The sequence below is a fragment of the Homo sapiens genome, chromosome 6 (genome assembly GCF_000001405.40).
Source record: "Homo sapiens chromosome 6, GRCh38.p14 Primary Assembly".
Lineage (NCBI taxonomy): Eukaryota > Metazoa > Chordata > Mammalia > Primates > Hominidae > Homo > Homo sapiens.
In genome coordinates this window covers 128,873,280-128,892,704 of record NC_000006.12, presented here as the reverse complement: position 1 = coordinate 128,892,704, position 19,425 = coordinate 128,873,280, and the positions used below count along the sequence as shown (strand labels likewise).

At 35.3% G+C, this 19,425-nt stretch overlaps 1 protein-coding gene across 2 annotated transcripts in view; it reads right to left on the bottom strand.

Moving 5' to 3' along the window:
- Positions 1-9,567, bottom strand: part of LAMA2 (laminin subunit alpha 2) — a 633,429-nt gene extending 623,862 nt beyond the window's left edge. For both annotated transcript variants that reach the window (NM_000426.4, NM_001079823.2), the window contains exon 1: positions 9,348-9,567. In NM_000426.4, coding sequence (NP_000417.3) covers positions 9,348-9,459 — 112 coding nt within the window. In that variant the 5' untranslated portion in view covers positions 9,460-9,567. The remainder of the gene's footprint in view (positions 1-9,347) is intronic.

The window sequence follows — 19,425 nt, the reverse complement described above, 5'->3', positions numbered from 1 at the left end:
TAAAGACAATCTATATTGAGAGATTTTCTGCAATCCAATTAGACTTTCCACTGAAGGCCATGCTGAAATTAACTTACATTGTGTGTCAAACACGCCACATTGTCATCTCTACCCAAGCAGATGTCAATGAAAACATATACTTCATAGACTAAGAATAATAACTAACCTTTATGAAGTGCTTACTATATGCCATATATTTATCTAAACATATTATAAGTATTAAAGAAGTTTTTAAAAAATAGTTTATCAACAAAATAAATACATATTCAACAATGAGATTCCTAGAAAAAACGTTTATTGTACCACATTTGAAGTATGAATAACTACAAATTATTGCAAAAATTTCCATCATGTTGCCTGTTTTAAATCACTTCTCACACAGAGCTACTAACATAACTGTTAGCTAATTATAGGAACTTGTGTTTCTTCTTATCTCTGTTACTGACTTGCTGTGTAACCTCGACAGAATTATTCAATCTCTTGGCAATGAGATAAATAGTTTGCCATCTATAGTCTCTTAGGGTCTCCTCAAAGAAATTTTTAGAATATTTTGCTGTTCTTAAGCAAAAAGGATATGCTATATGCAAAGCAAATCTTTTTTTTTAGTTTTATGCTCATAAAATAAAGAAGAAAAGAGCTAGTATTTACTGATTAGCTGGCAAGTATTTTCACATTTATTATCTAACCTAAACCTATCTTACGAATAGAAAATTTAACTCCGTTGACTCAGGCTTTTGATCTTAGTAAAGTGGTGACTTGGCTATGGATCCGAGTCTAGCCTTCTCCTAAGTCCATACGTTTTCTACGATTCAGTTACCTCCAAAGAAGAGTACTGTATGTGGAAACTAAAGGTATAAAGAGGTACGTATTGATAAGAGTTTTTATTGTAGGCTAAGCTATAAAGTTGAGAATAAAGAAATACTGCAGCACAAATTCTAATTAGAATTCAAATACTTGTGTGTTTAAGTATATAAGCAAATTCCTTCCTTCACAAACAGTCTCAACTGAATTTGGTATACCACATGATGTTGGAGAAGAGTGTTTCTTTCAGCCAGAGAATGTCATGTTAGGTTGTTAGGTTTAATTCATTTTTTGAGGCATTTTGAAAATGAACATTTATTGAGGCCTTACTAGATGTTTCATGTTTTATATTCAGTGTTTTACATATGTACCACGACAAACCAATGAGATGAGGTAGCTCACTGAAATGACAATTGCACTGCTTCATATTCTCTTTCAAACTTTCAGCCTCATCCAATAATTGAAAATTGCACAGAAGGCAATAAAGCCAGGAAATTGTGTCAACTATAATATGTAGGCATTTGAAAAAATATATTTGATGCAGCAAACTCTACTAACTCTATTTCTTCTATAGAATAGGACCTTCTAAGTTACAAGCAACTCGAAAGGGATTATACCTTGGAATTTTAACAGTATAGCTACTGGATGGAATATTATAATTGTCTCATTTATAATTTATTCTTTGGTCCATAATCATTTGTCAAGGCAACTAGAGTTTTCTAGAAATTCAATTTTTAGATTTTCTTATTCAAAGATTTTGATAAACAAAATCTAATACCTTAAGACAACAAAAATCAAACAGAAAACATACTAAATATACAAATTAGGTCCTGTGAGTGCTAGGCTGTAAATGGTACATGTGCACTGGTGCTGCAATCACATACATACACAAATACACCCTCTCAAAATCTGGGAGATTGGAAGACTTTTGTCTTAACTGAGTTCAACTTCAAATGAAAGTCTTTAAATGTTTTTATGAAGATGTCAAGGTTTTTCATCTTTTCAGAAGGAATTTTGAGATTAATCTTGCTCTGATTCTTAGGTATATCTGTTTGGTTCTTGTTCTTTTCATTCACTGACATTTACACATTGACTATTCTTAAAGGGTTCATTATACAGTATAATAAATACCGTTGTTTCTAGCTTGCTGAAGTAACTTCTGTAAAGTTACTTCAGAAAAGCCAATAAAGAATCAATTAATATTTTCTTATAGCCTAGTGTCCAGTAATCAAAGTTCCAAGAATGTAAACACTAAAATTTGATGAATGCATTTGAATTAATGCATAGTTTTAAGTAATACATGTGTGTATATGTCTACATAGTAATAAGCAGCATGTGTGTGTGTGTGTGTGTGTGTGTGTATTTAAATGAAAAAGACCCTTCAAGACTACACATTTTATTTTTTGTTCTTCCATAATACCAAATGAATCTCTGGATATGATAGACTAACATAACTTAGAAATGGATTTTTTTTTCCTCAGGGTATTTTATGAAAGATAAATATATAAAAGTCCAAAAGAGGTGATAGTTAGCATCTACAAAGTCAAGAGCAGGACCGTAATTTAATTTCTAATTCTAAAATAAGCATTGGAATTTTTGTTTGTCCTTGACAAGTTGCTGGGCATATTTTCCTTCTACAAACTGAGGATAATTATATTAATCTACTAAACAGCTCTGCTACGTAAGTAAATGTGTTAATGCTCACAATGCACTACATATTATTATACCAATCTAAACCATCTGGCACTCAAGACGCAGCTAAATGAAGAGCCTTGGGGAGGTACACAGTTCGGGGGTCAGTTGAGTGGACTACACATACAGAGACATACTTAACATTGCACAAGGTACATTTCCTAAGTGCCAGGCACTAAATAGCTCCTGAGGTTTTCATCATCAGGAATTTGCATAGATTAACTTGTTGTTTGAACTAGATTAGGCATGTCACAGAGGCCGATATTATGAATAATAACCCATTAATAGGCAATCCTCAATGATCTTTTGTAAATGTCACGTGTCCAAATAAAATCCAAATAGCATAAAGTTCCCATATTAAGATCCACACTCAAGATTACTTAGGAGAAAAACATTTTTAAACCCATATTATACATCTTTGACAAGCAAATGTCTTTAGCTTTAACTCACCCTGAAAATATGTCTCAAACTATCTTTAGATAGTAATTACCTGTGGCTTTTAATAAGGAAGATTTAAGTAAAGTTTTGCCTTACTATCTTCCTAAATGTTATATTTGTTAGAATTATCTATTTTAATTACCTTATTTTATTCACAGGAAGAATACTAAGGGAAAAGGAAAATAAAGAAAGGGAGGAAGGAAGAAAGGAAGGGAGAAAGAGAAGAGAGGGAGAGAGAAGGAAAAGCTATCCAATTTTTTTACCTTTTTTGTTCTAAATGACAGAATTAAATTAGGCCAAAATTGCATTACTATAGTCCAAAACGTTATTGTTAAAGCTTACAAGTGATTCTTAAAACAGTAACAAAAATGGAAACAGAACATAGAATAAGTTTCTGAATGTAAAACAGGTAGCATTTCAAATTTCATATCATAAAAGAAATCATCAGATCAATACATCACTATGTCATTTTCAACAATTGTGTCTAAACTTTAGCGTCTGAGATTGAAATAGATAATAAAAAAGGGAACTCCAAAGTACCTATATGTCCATGTGGGATTGTGAATAATTCATTTTTGTTTTAAAGTGCATACTATTTAAAATTACCCTTAAAAATCTGTCATATTTCTAACTACACTGGAGCAAAATTTTTAAAAGCTGCGGAAGTTCCCTGCACACAAATTGTTTCTGAGGTACTGATATATTTTGAATAATGGAATAGCACTGAGTTGCCAAAGGGAAGAAAAGAGTGTTACAAAGACACATCTGAGCTTCACCATGATAAGATGGTTGAAGTGGAATGCTCTTGAATGTAGAATCACTTAAATGTGTTCTATCAGTGGAGTGTTTGGGACAAGAGATAAATCTAAAATAATTCTATGCTTGGACTGTTGGTCTAGTCCCATGGATTAGTGCGTATTTGAGACAAAAAAACCTGTGATTTTATTCATTTATTTAACTCTGTTAAAACTCACCGATGCCTCCTCATCTCACTCAGACAAAAAGGCAAAATCTTTAAAATTAAGGTCAACAATGCTATGTGTTCCAGTTTCCCATTTCTCCTCTGAGCCTTCTCACCATGCTCCAAGCTTAGATCCTCATAGGCCTGCTCCCTGTACAGAGAGTACTCTTCCCCCTGATAACTGCACAAATCACTCCCACGTCATCTTCAAGTGTTTGCCAAAGTGAGATCCTCTCAAAGAGGTCAACCTTTACCAACCTTTACCAACAAAATAGCCATCAACCTCCCTCCATTCCTAGAACTCCTGACTGTCCTTACCCCGTTGTATTTGTTTGTCCAGGACATTTTTCATCAACTACATTTTATACAATATAGGTGTTCTTTTGTTGCTTCATCATATATTCATCATAGTCCTGTCTGCTCATCTCCATCCCAACTAAATATTAGTTCCACAAGAGCAGGAATTTTTTTATCTTCTTTACTCACTGTAAACATTCATTCATTTACCACATTCCAATGCATATAGGCCCAACCCCACCAATTTCCTTCACAACTTCTGACCTCTAAATTCAGTCTTACCAATGGGGAAAGCCTAGAATTAGTTTTATTTCTATCTGCTTGGTATATACTAAGCCTGGAAAATCTACTTTTATCTTTCTCTAAACTCTGTCTTGTTTTCTCATTTACTGAAACGGAGCTTCTGCCTAAATTCCTGTTTAGCTATCGAGGCTCAAGTTGCAACTGTAAACAAATCCTAAACCCGAATCTTCTAGATTAGAAGTTAAACCACTTGTGCAACCATTTACAATAATTATTTACAATAATTTCTTCCTGATCTTTTTCACATGGTTTCTAGATGCTAAATAAGGCCCTACTGCAAACTGGATAGATGATAAGTTGCAAATCTTTTTAAATTTTTGTTTTGTTTTGTTTTGTTTTGTTTGAGATAGAGTCTCCCTCTGTTGCCCAGGCTGGAGTGCAATGACACGATCTCGGCTCACTGCAACCTCTGCCTCCAGGGTTCAAGTGATTCTCCTGCCTCAGCCTCCTGAGTAGCTGGGATTACAGGCACATGCCACCACGCCTGGCTAATTTTTGTATTTTTAGTAGAGACACGGTTTCCGTTATGTTGGTCAGGCTGGTCTTGAACTCCTGACCTAAGGTGATCCACCCACCTAGGCCTCCCAAAGTGCTGCGATTACAGGAGTGAGCCACCTTGCCCAGCCCCCAGCATCCCTTGATATAGATTCAGTTCATTAGTTTGCATGAAATCCTAGGGTAGAAAAATCTTAAGATAGACCAGAAATCTGTACACATTGATATGTGAAATATAACATAATATAAAATTTATATAAATTTTATTAATTCTATCACATCTATAATATTCAGTGTTGAATATGTTCATATAAATATTTTGAATATGTTGAAATGCCATGCATTTTATCTGTTATGAATCATTTTTACTAAATGATTAGGTCAGTATATGGCAAACAAGCCAAAAAGTTAACATATGCAGCAAAGAAAAATATTTAAAAAAATTAATTCCAGGTTTATGGCCACTATGAATCCCCTGAAAATTTCTCAGGTAATTTATAAAGTATTCTTGCGTGTTATAACACAAGATGTTTTAGAACTGTGCAATTGACGATGATGTGGAAAATCCATGCTAAATATCTAAGTATTCTTGCCAAAAATGTGTGAGGATTGTCTCAAACATGTTTTTATTTTAAATCCCAGAAGGGATTTAAAAACACATTTTTATATATTTAACATTTTCTTGACATTTTAAGAATTCAGAAATTTAAATGCAAGTATGCACTCTAAAAGCAATAGACTATAATATTAGAATCTTAGAACTGACAAATGGCTAGACAGTTGATGAGTCTTAACTTCCTCTCAGTAGAGGCATTCCCTCATAAAGCATCCCTCACTAACTGTACATCTGATCACTGCATGGTCATTTCCAGAAGCAAGTTGCTCAAACACAATTCAGCTATTTCTGAACAACTCAAAATGGCATGGGGAGGAAGTGAGGAGAGGAGCTATTTTCTCCATATTATAAAATTCAAACCTGGTTGTTTGTCATGTTCTTCTATGGATCCACCTTCAGCCTTTAGAATAGTCCCTCTTTAACATAACGACTCTTCTGAAAATTTGAGGACAGTCCTTATGATTGCCTTCCCTAAATCTTTCCTTGTTCAGATGGAAAGATTTTACTTGGGACATTCCTCTTCTGAAAATCTTCTCAGACTCTTAACCATTCTGCTCTCCCTTCTCTGCATCTACACCCATTTGTCAATGAAATACCCAAATGTGTGTTAAGCAACAGACCTATGTGCTTCTATGAGTTTTGTGTAAAAGTGAGCCAACCTTTTTTGTCACCATATTACACTATATGTTCATATCGAACTTGCTGCAATTCAGAGTGGCCTTTCTCTTCCTGTCTTCATATTCATTCCTAAACATATAAACAATGTAACTAATTTCCAGAAGAGCACAAATGGACTTTTTTTTTTTAACATGTGGATATGAATAATAAAAGCAACTTCATGTAGGTGCCATTCATGGTCAAGGCTATAGAGACCTTTAAAATTTCTGAACTTGTTAGTAACCAGCTTAGCCACCTCTATCAATTTTGGACCACATGCAGTTCTGATAAGCTTGGATTTTACATTTTCCATCAAGCCATTACCAAGATAGTTGAGTATAAGAAAACCTCTGTTGCACTGCTAGAGACTTCTTTCCGGATTGACCTTAATCCACTATGCAATATTCTTTGTGAACTATTTTTCAATCAGTTGCAATTTACCTGCCATTATGCTTCAGTTTCCACATATTATTCACAAGAATATCAGAAAACATTTTAGACACTGCCTTGCTGAAATGCAGAATCATTTTGATTGCATCATTCTATTTCGTCAATTTTAAATATAGCTAAAGAATTTCCTTGGAATATCATTCTTGCTGAATCAATGCTATTCATACTACAATCGAGTATGCTATAGAAACCACATAAGATTTCAAAGAAAAAGTAAAAAACAAAAAGTCTGGTTATGTTTCTAACTCAACTGCAACATCTAAAAATGGTTGATTCATGTCAAAAATTCTTAATAAAGTGGTATCGAATTATAAGGGGAAATAGAACTTCTACACAATTAGCGCTTGCCTAGAAAGGTCAGTGCTAGTATAATCGAAAACAGAAAAGTTGATCATAGCCAGGAAAACCCTTCTCCAGTCAAACTCATATCCCGTGATTTTCACAGAGGGCTTGCTTCAATGGAACAACACTAAAAAGAAAACATGGCCTAAACAATTAATGGAAAGAAACCTTGGAACCATAAAAAAGGGAATTCAGCACAAACAATACCGGAAGTGTTTTAGTTGTTGAAATAAAGTTATTATTATGTAAACTTAAATTACAACTACTGGAAGCCTAAGTTCTAAATTTGTCCTTTGAGAATAATAATATCTGAAGGTGAATAAAGATCGTGTACATAAGGCATTTTTAAATCATAAATCACTATCCAATTTTAAAGTTTCATGAATTTTACATACTTTCAACATTAACAGGTTTAAGTCATTTATCCTTGAGCCAACCTCCAGATATATTGTAAATGGTCTATGACAAAGACAATAATATATACTAGAATGCAGATTATAGCAGCCTATAGTAGATTGTATGTTGTAGCTATTTTGAATAAAATTCCTTATTGTATGTAGCATTTAAGTGGTATCTTGACAGAATGGTAGTATAAACCCTTCCTCCTGAATTCACTTCATCTTGTGCCTGGGTCATAGAAATCAGAGTTAATATTACCTTATTTGAAAAGAGAGTAAATAAGAAGGGAGAGGAAAAAAGAGAAATCCTGTGTGTGTTCAGGATAATTCTTAGCAACAATTTACTTGATCCTTACTCTGCATGCTTTGAGTTTCTGCCCCATTCCAAGTGGACATAAGGATTGGTGCCCCTGGCCCCTCATTTCTCCCAGCTGCCTAACATTATTAAAGTATTATGTCTTGTTTAAACACACCTTGTAATTGAGCAAAGTTTAATAGTTAAAAGTAGAATTTTTAAAAATAAGTGGCCAGAGATACTCTTAAAATCACTCTCGTAAATTATATTAATTAAGTCATATTGGCCCCATTTTACCTCTCAGAGAAGCAAAAGCAAAAATAGAAGGAAAAAAGTTATATAGTGAATGCAAGGTCATTTTTATTCCAAGAATTTTAATCAGGGAGTTATTATTATAGAAAGAGCTTGGGATATCTCTTTACTCCTTAAAAAATAGTACTGCTAAAAATGCTAGATTATAAGAACAAATATCAGAACTATTGACTTGGCTAGAAGTTAACTGGAAGAAGGATAAGTATACTTCAAAACTTAAGCAGATTCAGCCTCATTAAAACTTTTAAAAGCTTCTAACCTACAGATTTTGTACTCTTAGGTTAAACATTTTCATATTTAAAACCGAATAATAAATATTTCTTTTTTTTTTACTTTGATACAGGTTTTCCAACTTAAAGAATTGTTTGCTGAAATAATGTGTTACAAAGTATGTCTTACAATGCTGCACATGTGCTTCCTGTAAAATTCATGATAATAAAATAACTCTTCAAAGACTCCCCAAAGTTTCAGAAATGAGAGCTATATATACATAAACACTAAGAGGCTCTGAGGAGAATAAGTTATTTAAGTTACATTAAATACAGCCATCTTCCAAAGTCCTCCAAAGTGTATATCTAGTCACTGTGGCCTTAAAGTACACATGACATAGAAGTCTCCTCTGTATTTAAGCAAAAGGAGAAATTTCACGATTTCACTACAATAAAATAGGATATGAAGATAAGATGTGGGTTTGAAAAAGGTGAGGCTGGAGGCGCCATTGCCATGAAAGAAAAAAAACCACATAACTTCTTTAGAAATCCTGTTTTAAAAGTTGAAAACAAAGTTCTGTAAAACTTTATATATATATATATGTGTGTGTGTGTGTGTGTGTGTGTGTGTGTGTGTATATATATATATATAATTTTTTTTTGATGCATCAGCTACCCTCCATAAAGTCCCAGGATGAACCACACAGCTTGGGAAGCCTTTCTCTGCAGGATGGGCTCTGATTTGAAGAAATTCTTTTTTTTCCAATTGGAAAAAGTTTTCCTCTTGGAAAGATTTCAGAAATCAATTTACGGGATGTATCGTGATAGCAAGACCTCTTCGAAACTAAAGAACAATGAAAAGCACTCCCCGTTCCTTTTGCAGGACTTAGGTAATTCCCCCTACACTACGCTCTCATGGCATTGAACTTGAACTTGCTTCAAGTTCCTCTTGCCCCAGAGCGCACTCTCTGAAGGCGAAGCAAGACGGCAGTCCACAGACAGCAACTCTCGGAAGAGTGGAAGAAGTGAGGAATCTCGGTCCCGGCAAAGGATGCAACCCAAGCCCATGCCTCGACTGTACCTCTTTGCTGATGTGCCTGTGACTGCCGCTGCTGCTGCGGCCGCTGCGCCTGTACGCCCCCGAGGCCTCCGGAGAGCAGCAGAAGGAGGAGGACCCCGGCGGCTCCCGGCATCGTAGTGGCCGCGACCGGATCCACTTCTCGGGAGCCAGAGGAGTCGCTGCCGCCCTGTCCCCTGGCCTTGGCTTGTGAGCTGAGCGAGCAGCAGCTGCTGGGGAAGAGGAGGAGACAGCCCCCTCTGGCTTTGGCCGGGCCGCCGCCTGAGGGTGGGGGAGAAAGAGGACACTCCTCCACTCTCGCCTTCCATGGGCACGCGGCCCCAGGACGGCCCTCTATTAAAGGATCCTCCTTTCCTAGAGCGCTCCTTCCCTCTGAGACCGGATCATTCCTAGCTTGACCTGGTATCTGAACTTCTTTTAAATTAAAGAAAGTAATTGACATGAAAGCACTTTGAAATCTGTAAAATCCCTACACATGGAAAACATTATTTCTGGGAAATGCAAACAGCTAGGAACTTTTACCTCTTGAGAAAGGCCTGGCAAAACTGTGTGCAGCCACTGTGTACCTAGAAGATCCAAGACATCCCCAAGGCCAGAGTGTCTGAGAAGTTACTAGCCGAGGGAAGGTGCCCTCTGGGGACACTGCAGGCTGGGGAACTTACTGCTAGGTAGGCTGCTGGGAGGGCAGTAAAGGAAGTGCAAAATAAAACAGCCACCCTGGCGTCCCTGAAATGTTCCTGACCAAACTAATGGTTAGAATGAAGGCTTTCAGTTCAGTTAGGAGACATTTACTTAAAGGTAATAAAGGCCTTTGCAATAGTTTCCTTCCAGACTCACAATTTCATCTCTTCCAGTCCTGGTTTCTCCTCTTTCTCCTCTTTAACTCAACAGAACTACTGCCATTCCTAGTTTTTGTTGTTTTTTCATTTGTTTTTTATGGCCTAGGTCAGTGGTTCTCATAAGGTTTAAAACAACTCCATAATGGATTTTGTGAGTCGCAGGATGTCTTTTGGTTTACTCCGGGAACGGTGGGTACTGCAGGCATTAGTGTACTGTTGGGTCAGGGTGTGAGCTGTCCCTCAGTGGTCAGGACAGTCCTACAACATATTTTGTCCTTAGACTTCTGAATGGGCCACTGGTCATTTATGTAGTGAGTAAACAAACAAACAAAACAACAAAACCTTGCCTTATATTTGAAACCTAATTTAAGTTTGTTTCCACATCAAATTTTTGTGTGTGTTTTTTGTTTGTTTGTTTGTTTTTTTCTAGGATGCATCTACTATATACATTGAGAAGATAATTTACTTTGTGTTTTTGGATTTTACACCCATTTGTCAATGGGTGTAAAGATGTACTTTCAGAGAAGCACATCACTGATAACAACCTTGCCCATGGTACTTGAGTCACCAGCACAATATCAACATCCCATCGATTACACTGGGGTCATCTAAGAATAGGTGCAAACTTTTATTTTATTTTGCCTCCTAAGGAAGTTTTACCCAAGCATTTATATGTTGAAATACATATTGTCTTATATAGATAGTTTTCTTTTTTATAGTTAAGATGTATTGATTTATCTAAATATTATATTAAAGTTGAATTTTCTTTCAGTAAAATTAAGAGAGTATTGCTTTGAAGAGAATTGATTGAAAATCACTAGCCAAAGCCCATTCTTTAATATTATTCATGTCTTTTAGTTCTGTTAATATTATACCAGAAAGCTTTGTAATCCTTTTACCTTACTGTGGAAATTTGCAAAATGTAGTCTGCCCATGTCTGCACACTTATACATTATTTATTATTATAATAAACAATAATAAAACTTATATTTGAGAGTTTATTATAATTGAAGCCCCAGTGTTTTTAATTTGGTCTAATTTTGCCTAGAAGTGTTTTTCAGGTACATCTAATAGCAGAGAGGCACCCTAAATTAACCTTCTAAACCTATTGCTATTCTCAGAATGATTATTTTTACTCAACCACGTTGTGGCCTCAACTCAAATTAGTTAATCTAATAAATAATAAAAAATATTTATAAAAAGGAAAAGTTTTATTGAATATTTATAAAAAGGAAAATGATTATTTTTACTCAACCATGTTGTGGCCTCAACTCAAATTAGTTAATCTAATAAATAATAAAAAATATTTATAAAAAGGAAAATCAGAATGATGCAGCTGCTAACTCTAATTGTGGAATGAAAATATACCATGTTCCCTCTATCCCCTTCCTCTTTACATTTTCCCAGGATTTTATAATCAATATTTGTACCTGCTTTTCTGCAGTTACTGCAGTTACCTGAGTTCCTATTTTACATGAAAATGCCTTGAGAATAAGACTATGATCTCCACTGTCAACTCTACTTGTTTGATTCAGCACATGGAAAAAATTCTTAAATATTTAACCCAAATTAAAATGAACCAGTATATTTAGAGCTATATTTTTTCCAAATAAACCTAAATAAGGTACAATTTACACACAATAAATATGCTCATTTGAAACATTTTTTAGATGTAAATACTCATCTGACAAAGTACCCAATACATAGTCTATTTCTATAATCTCAAAAAGTTTTCTTTCTGACCTTTTGCAATAAATCCCCCAACCTCCATTCCCAGAAAAAGGCAACTGCTGATCTAATTTTGTCACTATAGATTATAACTATTCTCATATTTCATGTAAATACAATAATAAAATAGTAATCTTTTGTGTCTGGCTTCTTTCACTTTGCAACATGTTTTGGAGGTATAGTCATGTTGCTTATATCAGTAATACATTCCTTTTCATCTCTGAATAATATTCTATCATTCTAATAGTATCTATCATTCTATATCGTATGGATATATCACAATTTTTTAATACATTCAACTATTAAAGTACATTTGGGTTGTTCCAGTTTGGGGCTATGAAGAATAAAATTGCTATGATTATTTAAACACAGTGTTCGCATGGACATGTTTATATTTCTCTATTCCTATCAAGTCTTAGGAGTTATATTATCAGGTATGTAATTAGCGCTATACAAAACTGTGAACCTCTTTTCCAATGTTGTTTTATAATTTTACATTCCTCCCACAGCAATATATAGGAGTTCCAGATGCTCTATGGCTTTATTAACATCTAATATTGTTACATTTTAGCCATTCTAGTGCTTGTGTGGTGATACCTCATTGGTGGTGTCATTTGCACTTCTTTGATGATGCTGAACATATTTTCATGTGCTTAATCGTCATTTGTATATCTTATTTTGTGAAATTCTTCTTGAAATCTTTGCTCATTTTGCTTTGTTTGCCAGATTATTAATAAGATTTAAATACATATTCTAGAGAAAAGACCTTTGTCAAGTACATTTACTATAATATGTATTGTTCTCAATCTGTGGCTTGACTTTGCATTTGGAGTGCTTTCAAAGAGCAGAAGTGTTTAATTCTGATTAAATACAATTTATTAAATCATTCATTATGCTTAATATTTTTTGTCCCTTTCAGAAATCATTGCCTACACCAAAGTTGTGAACATTATCTTCTTTATTTTTTTTCTAGAGATTTTATAGTCTTAGCTTCTACAGTTGGGTCTATGATTTATTTCCAGCAAATTTTGGTGTTTGCTGTGAAGTAGAGGCTTAGGTAAGGGCTTTCTTTTTCCATGTAGATATCCATTCACTTCATCATCATTTGTTGAGAAAGATATAATTTCCTCGTCTAATTACCTTGGATCTTTTTTCAAAAGTCAATTGACCACGTGTGGGTCTATTTTTGGACTCTCTTTTCATTGGCATATATATATATATATATATATATATATAAAATGGCATATATATATATAATGGCATATATATATATAATGGCATATATATATATAATGGCATATATATATATATAATGGCATATATATATATATATATATATATATATATATCTCCTTATTCCACTATCACAGTCTCTATTACTGTAGCTTTACAGTGAGCCTCAAAGTTAGGTAAGGTAAATCCTATAATGTTGTTTTACAAAACAAAATTATCTTTACTATTTTAGGTTCTTCACATATTATGTAATATTTAGGTAAAAATCTATTCATTGGTGAAGTTGAATATTTTATTTTTTAATTTTAATAGACTATTGTTTAGAGCTGTTTTAGATTCACAACAAAGTTGAGCAGAAGGTACAGAGATTTTCCATATACCTCTGACCCAACACATTCATAGCCTCCCCCTTTATCAACATGCCCCATCAGAGTGATATATTTGTCACAACTGAAAACCTACATTGACATATCATTATCACTCCGATTTCATAGTTTACATTAGGTTTTAATGTAATTTATAATTACATTAAATTTATAATGACATGTATCCAACATTACACTATCATATAGAGTAATTTTACTGCCCTGAGATTCCTCTGTGCTCCACGTATTCATGCCTCCTCCCTGTCCCCACCTCCAAACACTGGCAACCACTGATCTTTTTACTGTCCCCTTAGTTTTACCTTTTCCAAAAGGTCATATATTTGGAATCATACAATATATAGCCTTTCAGATAAGTTTCTTTCACTTAGTAATATGCATTTAAGTTTCCTCTTTTCATGGCTTGATAGCTCATTTCTTTTTAGCACTGAAAAAATATTTCGTTATCTTGAAGTACCACAGTTTACTCATCCATTCATCTAATGAAAAACACCTTGGTTGGTTCCAAGTTTTGACAATTATTGATACAACTGCTATCAGCATCTGACCTTTTGCAATAAATCCCCCAACCTCCATTCCCAGAAAAAGGCAACTGCTGATCTAATTTTGTCACTATAGATTATAACTATTCTCATATTTCACATGTGAAGGTTTTTGTGTGGACACAAGTTTCCAACTCCTTTGAGTAAATACCCAGAAGCACAATTGCCTGGATCATATGGTAAGAATATGTTTAGTTTTCTTAAGTCCATATAATTTTAAATATCAGCTTATTAATTTCTACCCAAAAAAGGAGAGTAGGGAACATGATTGTAATGAGGTTGGACCTACAGATAAATTGTGGGATAATTGATATCTTAGCAATATTTAGACTTCCATTCACAAATATAGCCCGTCTTCATTTATTTACATGTTTAATATTCTAAGCAGTGCCTTATAGTTTTGAATGTACATGTCTTTTGGGTTTCTTTTTTTTTTTTTTTTTTTTTTTTGAGACAGAGTCTCACTCTGGCCTAGGTTCAAGCTATCCTCTTGTCTCAGCCTCCCAAGTAGCTGGGATTACAAATGTGTGCCACCAGGCTTACCTAATTTTTGTATTTTTAGTAGAGACAGGTTTTCAGCATGTTGGCCAGGCTGGTCTTGAACTTCTGACCTCAAGTGATCCACCCACCTCGGTCTCCCAAAGTGCTGGGATTACAGATGTGAGCCACCGCGCTTCTTCTTGAGATGAGTCTCGCTATATGACCCAGACTCTAGTGCAGTGGCACAGTCATGGCTCACTGCAGCGTCAACCTCCTGGGTTCAATCAATCCTCCCACTTCAGCCTTCTGAGTATCTGTAACTATAGGCATATGCCACCATACCCAGCTAATTAATTTTTTTTTTTTTTTTTTTTGAGAGACAAGGTCTTACTATGTTGCCAAGGCCAGTCTCAAACTCCTGGGCTCAAGCAATCCTCCCAACTTGGCTTCCCATTCATGTACATGTCAACATAATTTCTAAAATTTAACTTGTGTTTCAAGTTTTTGAGTGCTATTGTAAATATTTTTCAATTTAATTTTTCATAAATTTAGTTTCATAGTAATATAAGTGATATAGGTTATATACATCGGATCCTAAAAAGTTGTTGAAATCACTTGTAAGTAGTTTATATGTTGATTCTTTAGGATTATTATATATAGGATTATGCTATCCAAAAATAAAGGCAGTTTTATTTCTATCTTTCCAATCTGTATGCTTTTTACACTTTTTCTTGCTATTTGGTTCTGGCTGTGACTTCCAGTTAAAAAGTTGAATAGAAATGGTAAGAGTGGACATTTTTGCCTAATTTCTTATCAGAGGGAAAAAACATTCGTTCACCGTTATGATGATGGCTCCAGGTTTTCAATAGATGCTCAGTACAAAGTGGAGGGAATTCTCTTCTTTTGTTGAGAGTTTCTGTGACAAAATAATATTAAATTTTGGTAAATGCTTTTTCTGCATCTGTTTAAATAAACATGATTTGTTTTCTTTGTTTGGTTAATATGGTGAATTATAGTGACTGATTTTCATCATTAAATCAAATTCACGGTCCTGCAATAAACCCCAGTGAGTCATGATGTATTATCCCTTTATATATCACCAGTTTAGATTTACTATTTTTTCTTAAATAAATAATTTTTTTATTTCAAAAAGCTTTTGGAATACATGTGACTTTTGGTTGCATGAATGAATTGTATAGTGGTGAAGTCTAAGATTTTAGTGCACCCATTTTGAGTGCACCTGAGTAGATTAATTAATATTTTGTTAAGCATTGTTGTATCTAATAGTCAACAATACTATCCTGTGCACTTAATATTTTATAATGTAGATCTCGTGTGAAGTGTTCTTGCCACACACACAGAAGAAAGGGACATGAGGAAACTTTTAGAGGTGATAGACATGTCTATTTCCTTGATTATGGCATTGGTTCACGAGTGTATGTATATGTCCAAGCTCATCAGATTGTATACATTAAATATGTACAGTGTTTTGTATATCAATTATACTTGAATAAAGCTTTTTCTATTTAAAAAAGTATGTTTGTTTCTATATTTATAAGGGACATCAGTCTATCGTAATTTTTCTTGTAATATCTTTATCTGGTTTGGGTATCATGGTTATGATGACCTTACATAATGAGTTGGAGCATACTTCCTCCTGAAACAGTTCATATAGGGTTTCTATAATTCCTTCCCTACATCATGTTGGATAGAATTTACCAGTGAAACCATTTTGGGCTATAGTTTACTTTTTTGAAAGGTTTTTCACTATAAATTTCAAATATAATATGTATTAGTCCGTTTTCATGCTTCCAATAAAGACATACCCAGGACTGGGAAGAAAAATAGGTTTATTGGACTCACAGTTCCACATGGCTGGTGGGGCTTCACAATCATGGCAGAAAGTGAAGAGCTCTTCTTACATGGCAGTGGCAAGAGAGAACGAGAGAGACGCAGAAGTAGAAACCCCTTATAAAACCATCAGATCTGACTGAGATTTATTTACTACCTCGAAAACAGTATGGGGGAAACCATCCCATCATTCAATTATCTCCCACTAGTCCCTCCCAAAACACATGGGAATTATGGGAGCTACAGTTCAAGATGAGATTTGGATGCAGACACAGAGCCAAACCATATCATTCCACCCCTGGACCCTAGCAAATCTCATGTCCTCACTTTTCAAAACCAATCATGCCTTCCCAACAGTCCCCCAAACTCTTAACTCATTTCAGCATTAACTCAAAAGTCCACAGTCTTATCTGAGACAAGGCAAGTCCCTTCCACCTATGTGCCTGTAAAACCAAAAGCAAGTTAGTTACTTCCTAGATACAATGAGGGTACAGCTTTGGGAAAATACAGCCATTCCAAACGGGAGAAATTGGCCAAAACAAAGGGGCTGCAGGCCCCATGCTAGAAATTCACGGGGGCAGTCAAATCTTAAAGCTCCAAAATGATCTCTTTTGACTCCTTTGATTGTCTCACATCCAGGTCACACTGATGGAAGGCAGGGGTTCACATGATCTTGGGCAGCTCTGCCCCTGTGGCTTTGCAGGGTACAGCGTCCCTCCTGGCTGCTTTCACAGGCTAGTGTTGGGTGTCTGTGGCTTTTCGAGGCACACAGTGCAAACTGTCAGTGGATCTACCATTCTGGGGTCTGGAGGACAGCAGCCCTCTTCTCACATCTCCACTAGGCAGTGCCCCAGTAGGGATTCTGTGGGGGGGCTCTGACCCCACATTTCCCTTCTGCTCTGCCCTAGCAGAGGTTCTCCATGAGTGCCCTGCCCCTACAGCAAACTTTTGCTTGGACATCCAGGCGCTTCCATACATCCTCTGAAATCTAGGCAGAGGTTCCCAAACCTTAGTTCTTGACTTCTGTGCACTGGCAGGCTCAACACCACATGGAAGCTGCCAAGGCTTGGGGCTTGAACCCTCAAAGCCATGGCCTGAGCCATACCTTGGCCTCTTTTAGTCACAGCTGGAGCAGACAGAACACAGGACACCAAGTCCCTAGACTTCACACAGCAGAGGGACCCTGGGCCCTGCCCACAAACCATTTTTTTTCTCCTAGGCCTTCCAGTCTGTGATGGGACAGCCTGCTGCAAATGTCTCTGACATGCCCTGGAGACATTTTCCCCATAGTCTTGGTGATAAATATTCAACTCCTTGTTACTTATGCTAATTTCTGCAGCCAGCTTGAATTTCTCCACAGAAGATGAGATTTTCTTTTCTATTGCATTGTCAGGCTGCAAATTTTCCAAACTTTTATGCTCTGCTTCCCTTTTAAAACTGAATGCCTTTAACAGCACCCAAGTCACCCCTTGAATGCTTTGCTGCCTAGAAATTTCTTCCACCAGATACCCTATATCATCTCTCTCAAGTTCAAAGTTCCACAAATTTCTAGGGCGAAGCAAAATGCCACCAGTTTCTTTGCTAAAATATAAAAGAATCACCTTTGCTCCAGTTCACAAGCAGTTCCTCATCCTCATCTGAGACCACCTTAGCCTGGATTTCATCATCCGTATCATTATCAGCATTTTGGTCAAAGCCATTCAACAAGTCCCTAGGGAGTTCCAAACGTCCCCCCATTTACCTGTCTTCTTTTGAGCCCTTCAAACTGTTCCAATCTCTGCCCGTTACCCAGTTCCAAAGTCATTTTCACATTTTCAGGTATCTTTTCAGCAGTGCTGCACTCTACTGGTGCCAATTTACTGTATTAGTCCATTTTCATGCTGCTAATAAAGACATACCTGAGACTGGGTAATTTATGCAGGATAGAGGTTTAATGAATTCACAATTCCACATGGCTGGGGAGGCCTCACAATCATGGCAGAAGGCAAAAAGGAGCAAGTCATGTCTTACATGGATGGCAGCAGGCAAAGAGCACCTGTGCAGGGAAACTCCCCCTTGTAAAATCATGAGATCTCGTGAGACTTATTCTCTATCTCAAGAACAGTATGGGCAAAACTGCCCCATTATTCAATTATCTCACACCAGGCCCCTCCCACAACACATGGGAATTATGGGAGCTACAATCCAGAATGAAATTTGAGTGGGAACACAGAGCCAAATCATATCATGATATTTTAAGTAAATATAGAATTACTATTCAGATTTTCTATTTCTTCTTATATCAGTTTTAGTGATTTGTACCTATTAAGGAATGTATCTATTTTGTTTAGGTTGTCAAATTTATTGGCAAAAAGTTATTCAAAATAGTTTTTTATTATCCTTTAAATGTCTATAGGATCTTTAATGATACCCCCTTTTCCTGATATTGGTAATTTGTGTCTCCTCAATTTTTTTAACATCAGTCAAACTAGAGGCTTGTCAATTTTGTTGATTCTTTCAAAGAATCAGCTTTTGGCTTTACTAGTTTTTATTTTATTGTTTTTTAATTTTCTGTATCTTCAATTTCTACTTCAATATTTAAAATTTCCTTCCTTCTACTTATGTTGGGATTACTTCACTCATCGTTTTATTATAGCTTCTTATGGTGGAAGCTTAGATTGACTGTAGACTGTTCTTCTTTCCTAAGTATTAAAGCACTAAATTTTCCTCTATGTAGAGTCTTAGATGTATCACACAAATTTGAAAATTAAAAATTTTTTATTCAACGAAAAACTTGAAATATTTCTTTTGTGTTTTCTTCTTTGACCTACATGTTATTTTTAAGTGTGTTGTTAATACTCAATTTTTTGAGCTTTTGCTAGAAATAACAATATCTTATTGTTGATAATAATATTATTATTATTTTTGCTAGAAATAACAATATCTTATTGTTATTAATTTCTCATTAATTTATTTATGGTCAGAGAACATAATCTGCATGATTTCAATACTTTTTAACTTACTGAAACTTGTTTTTTATTCTAGG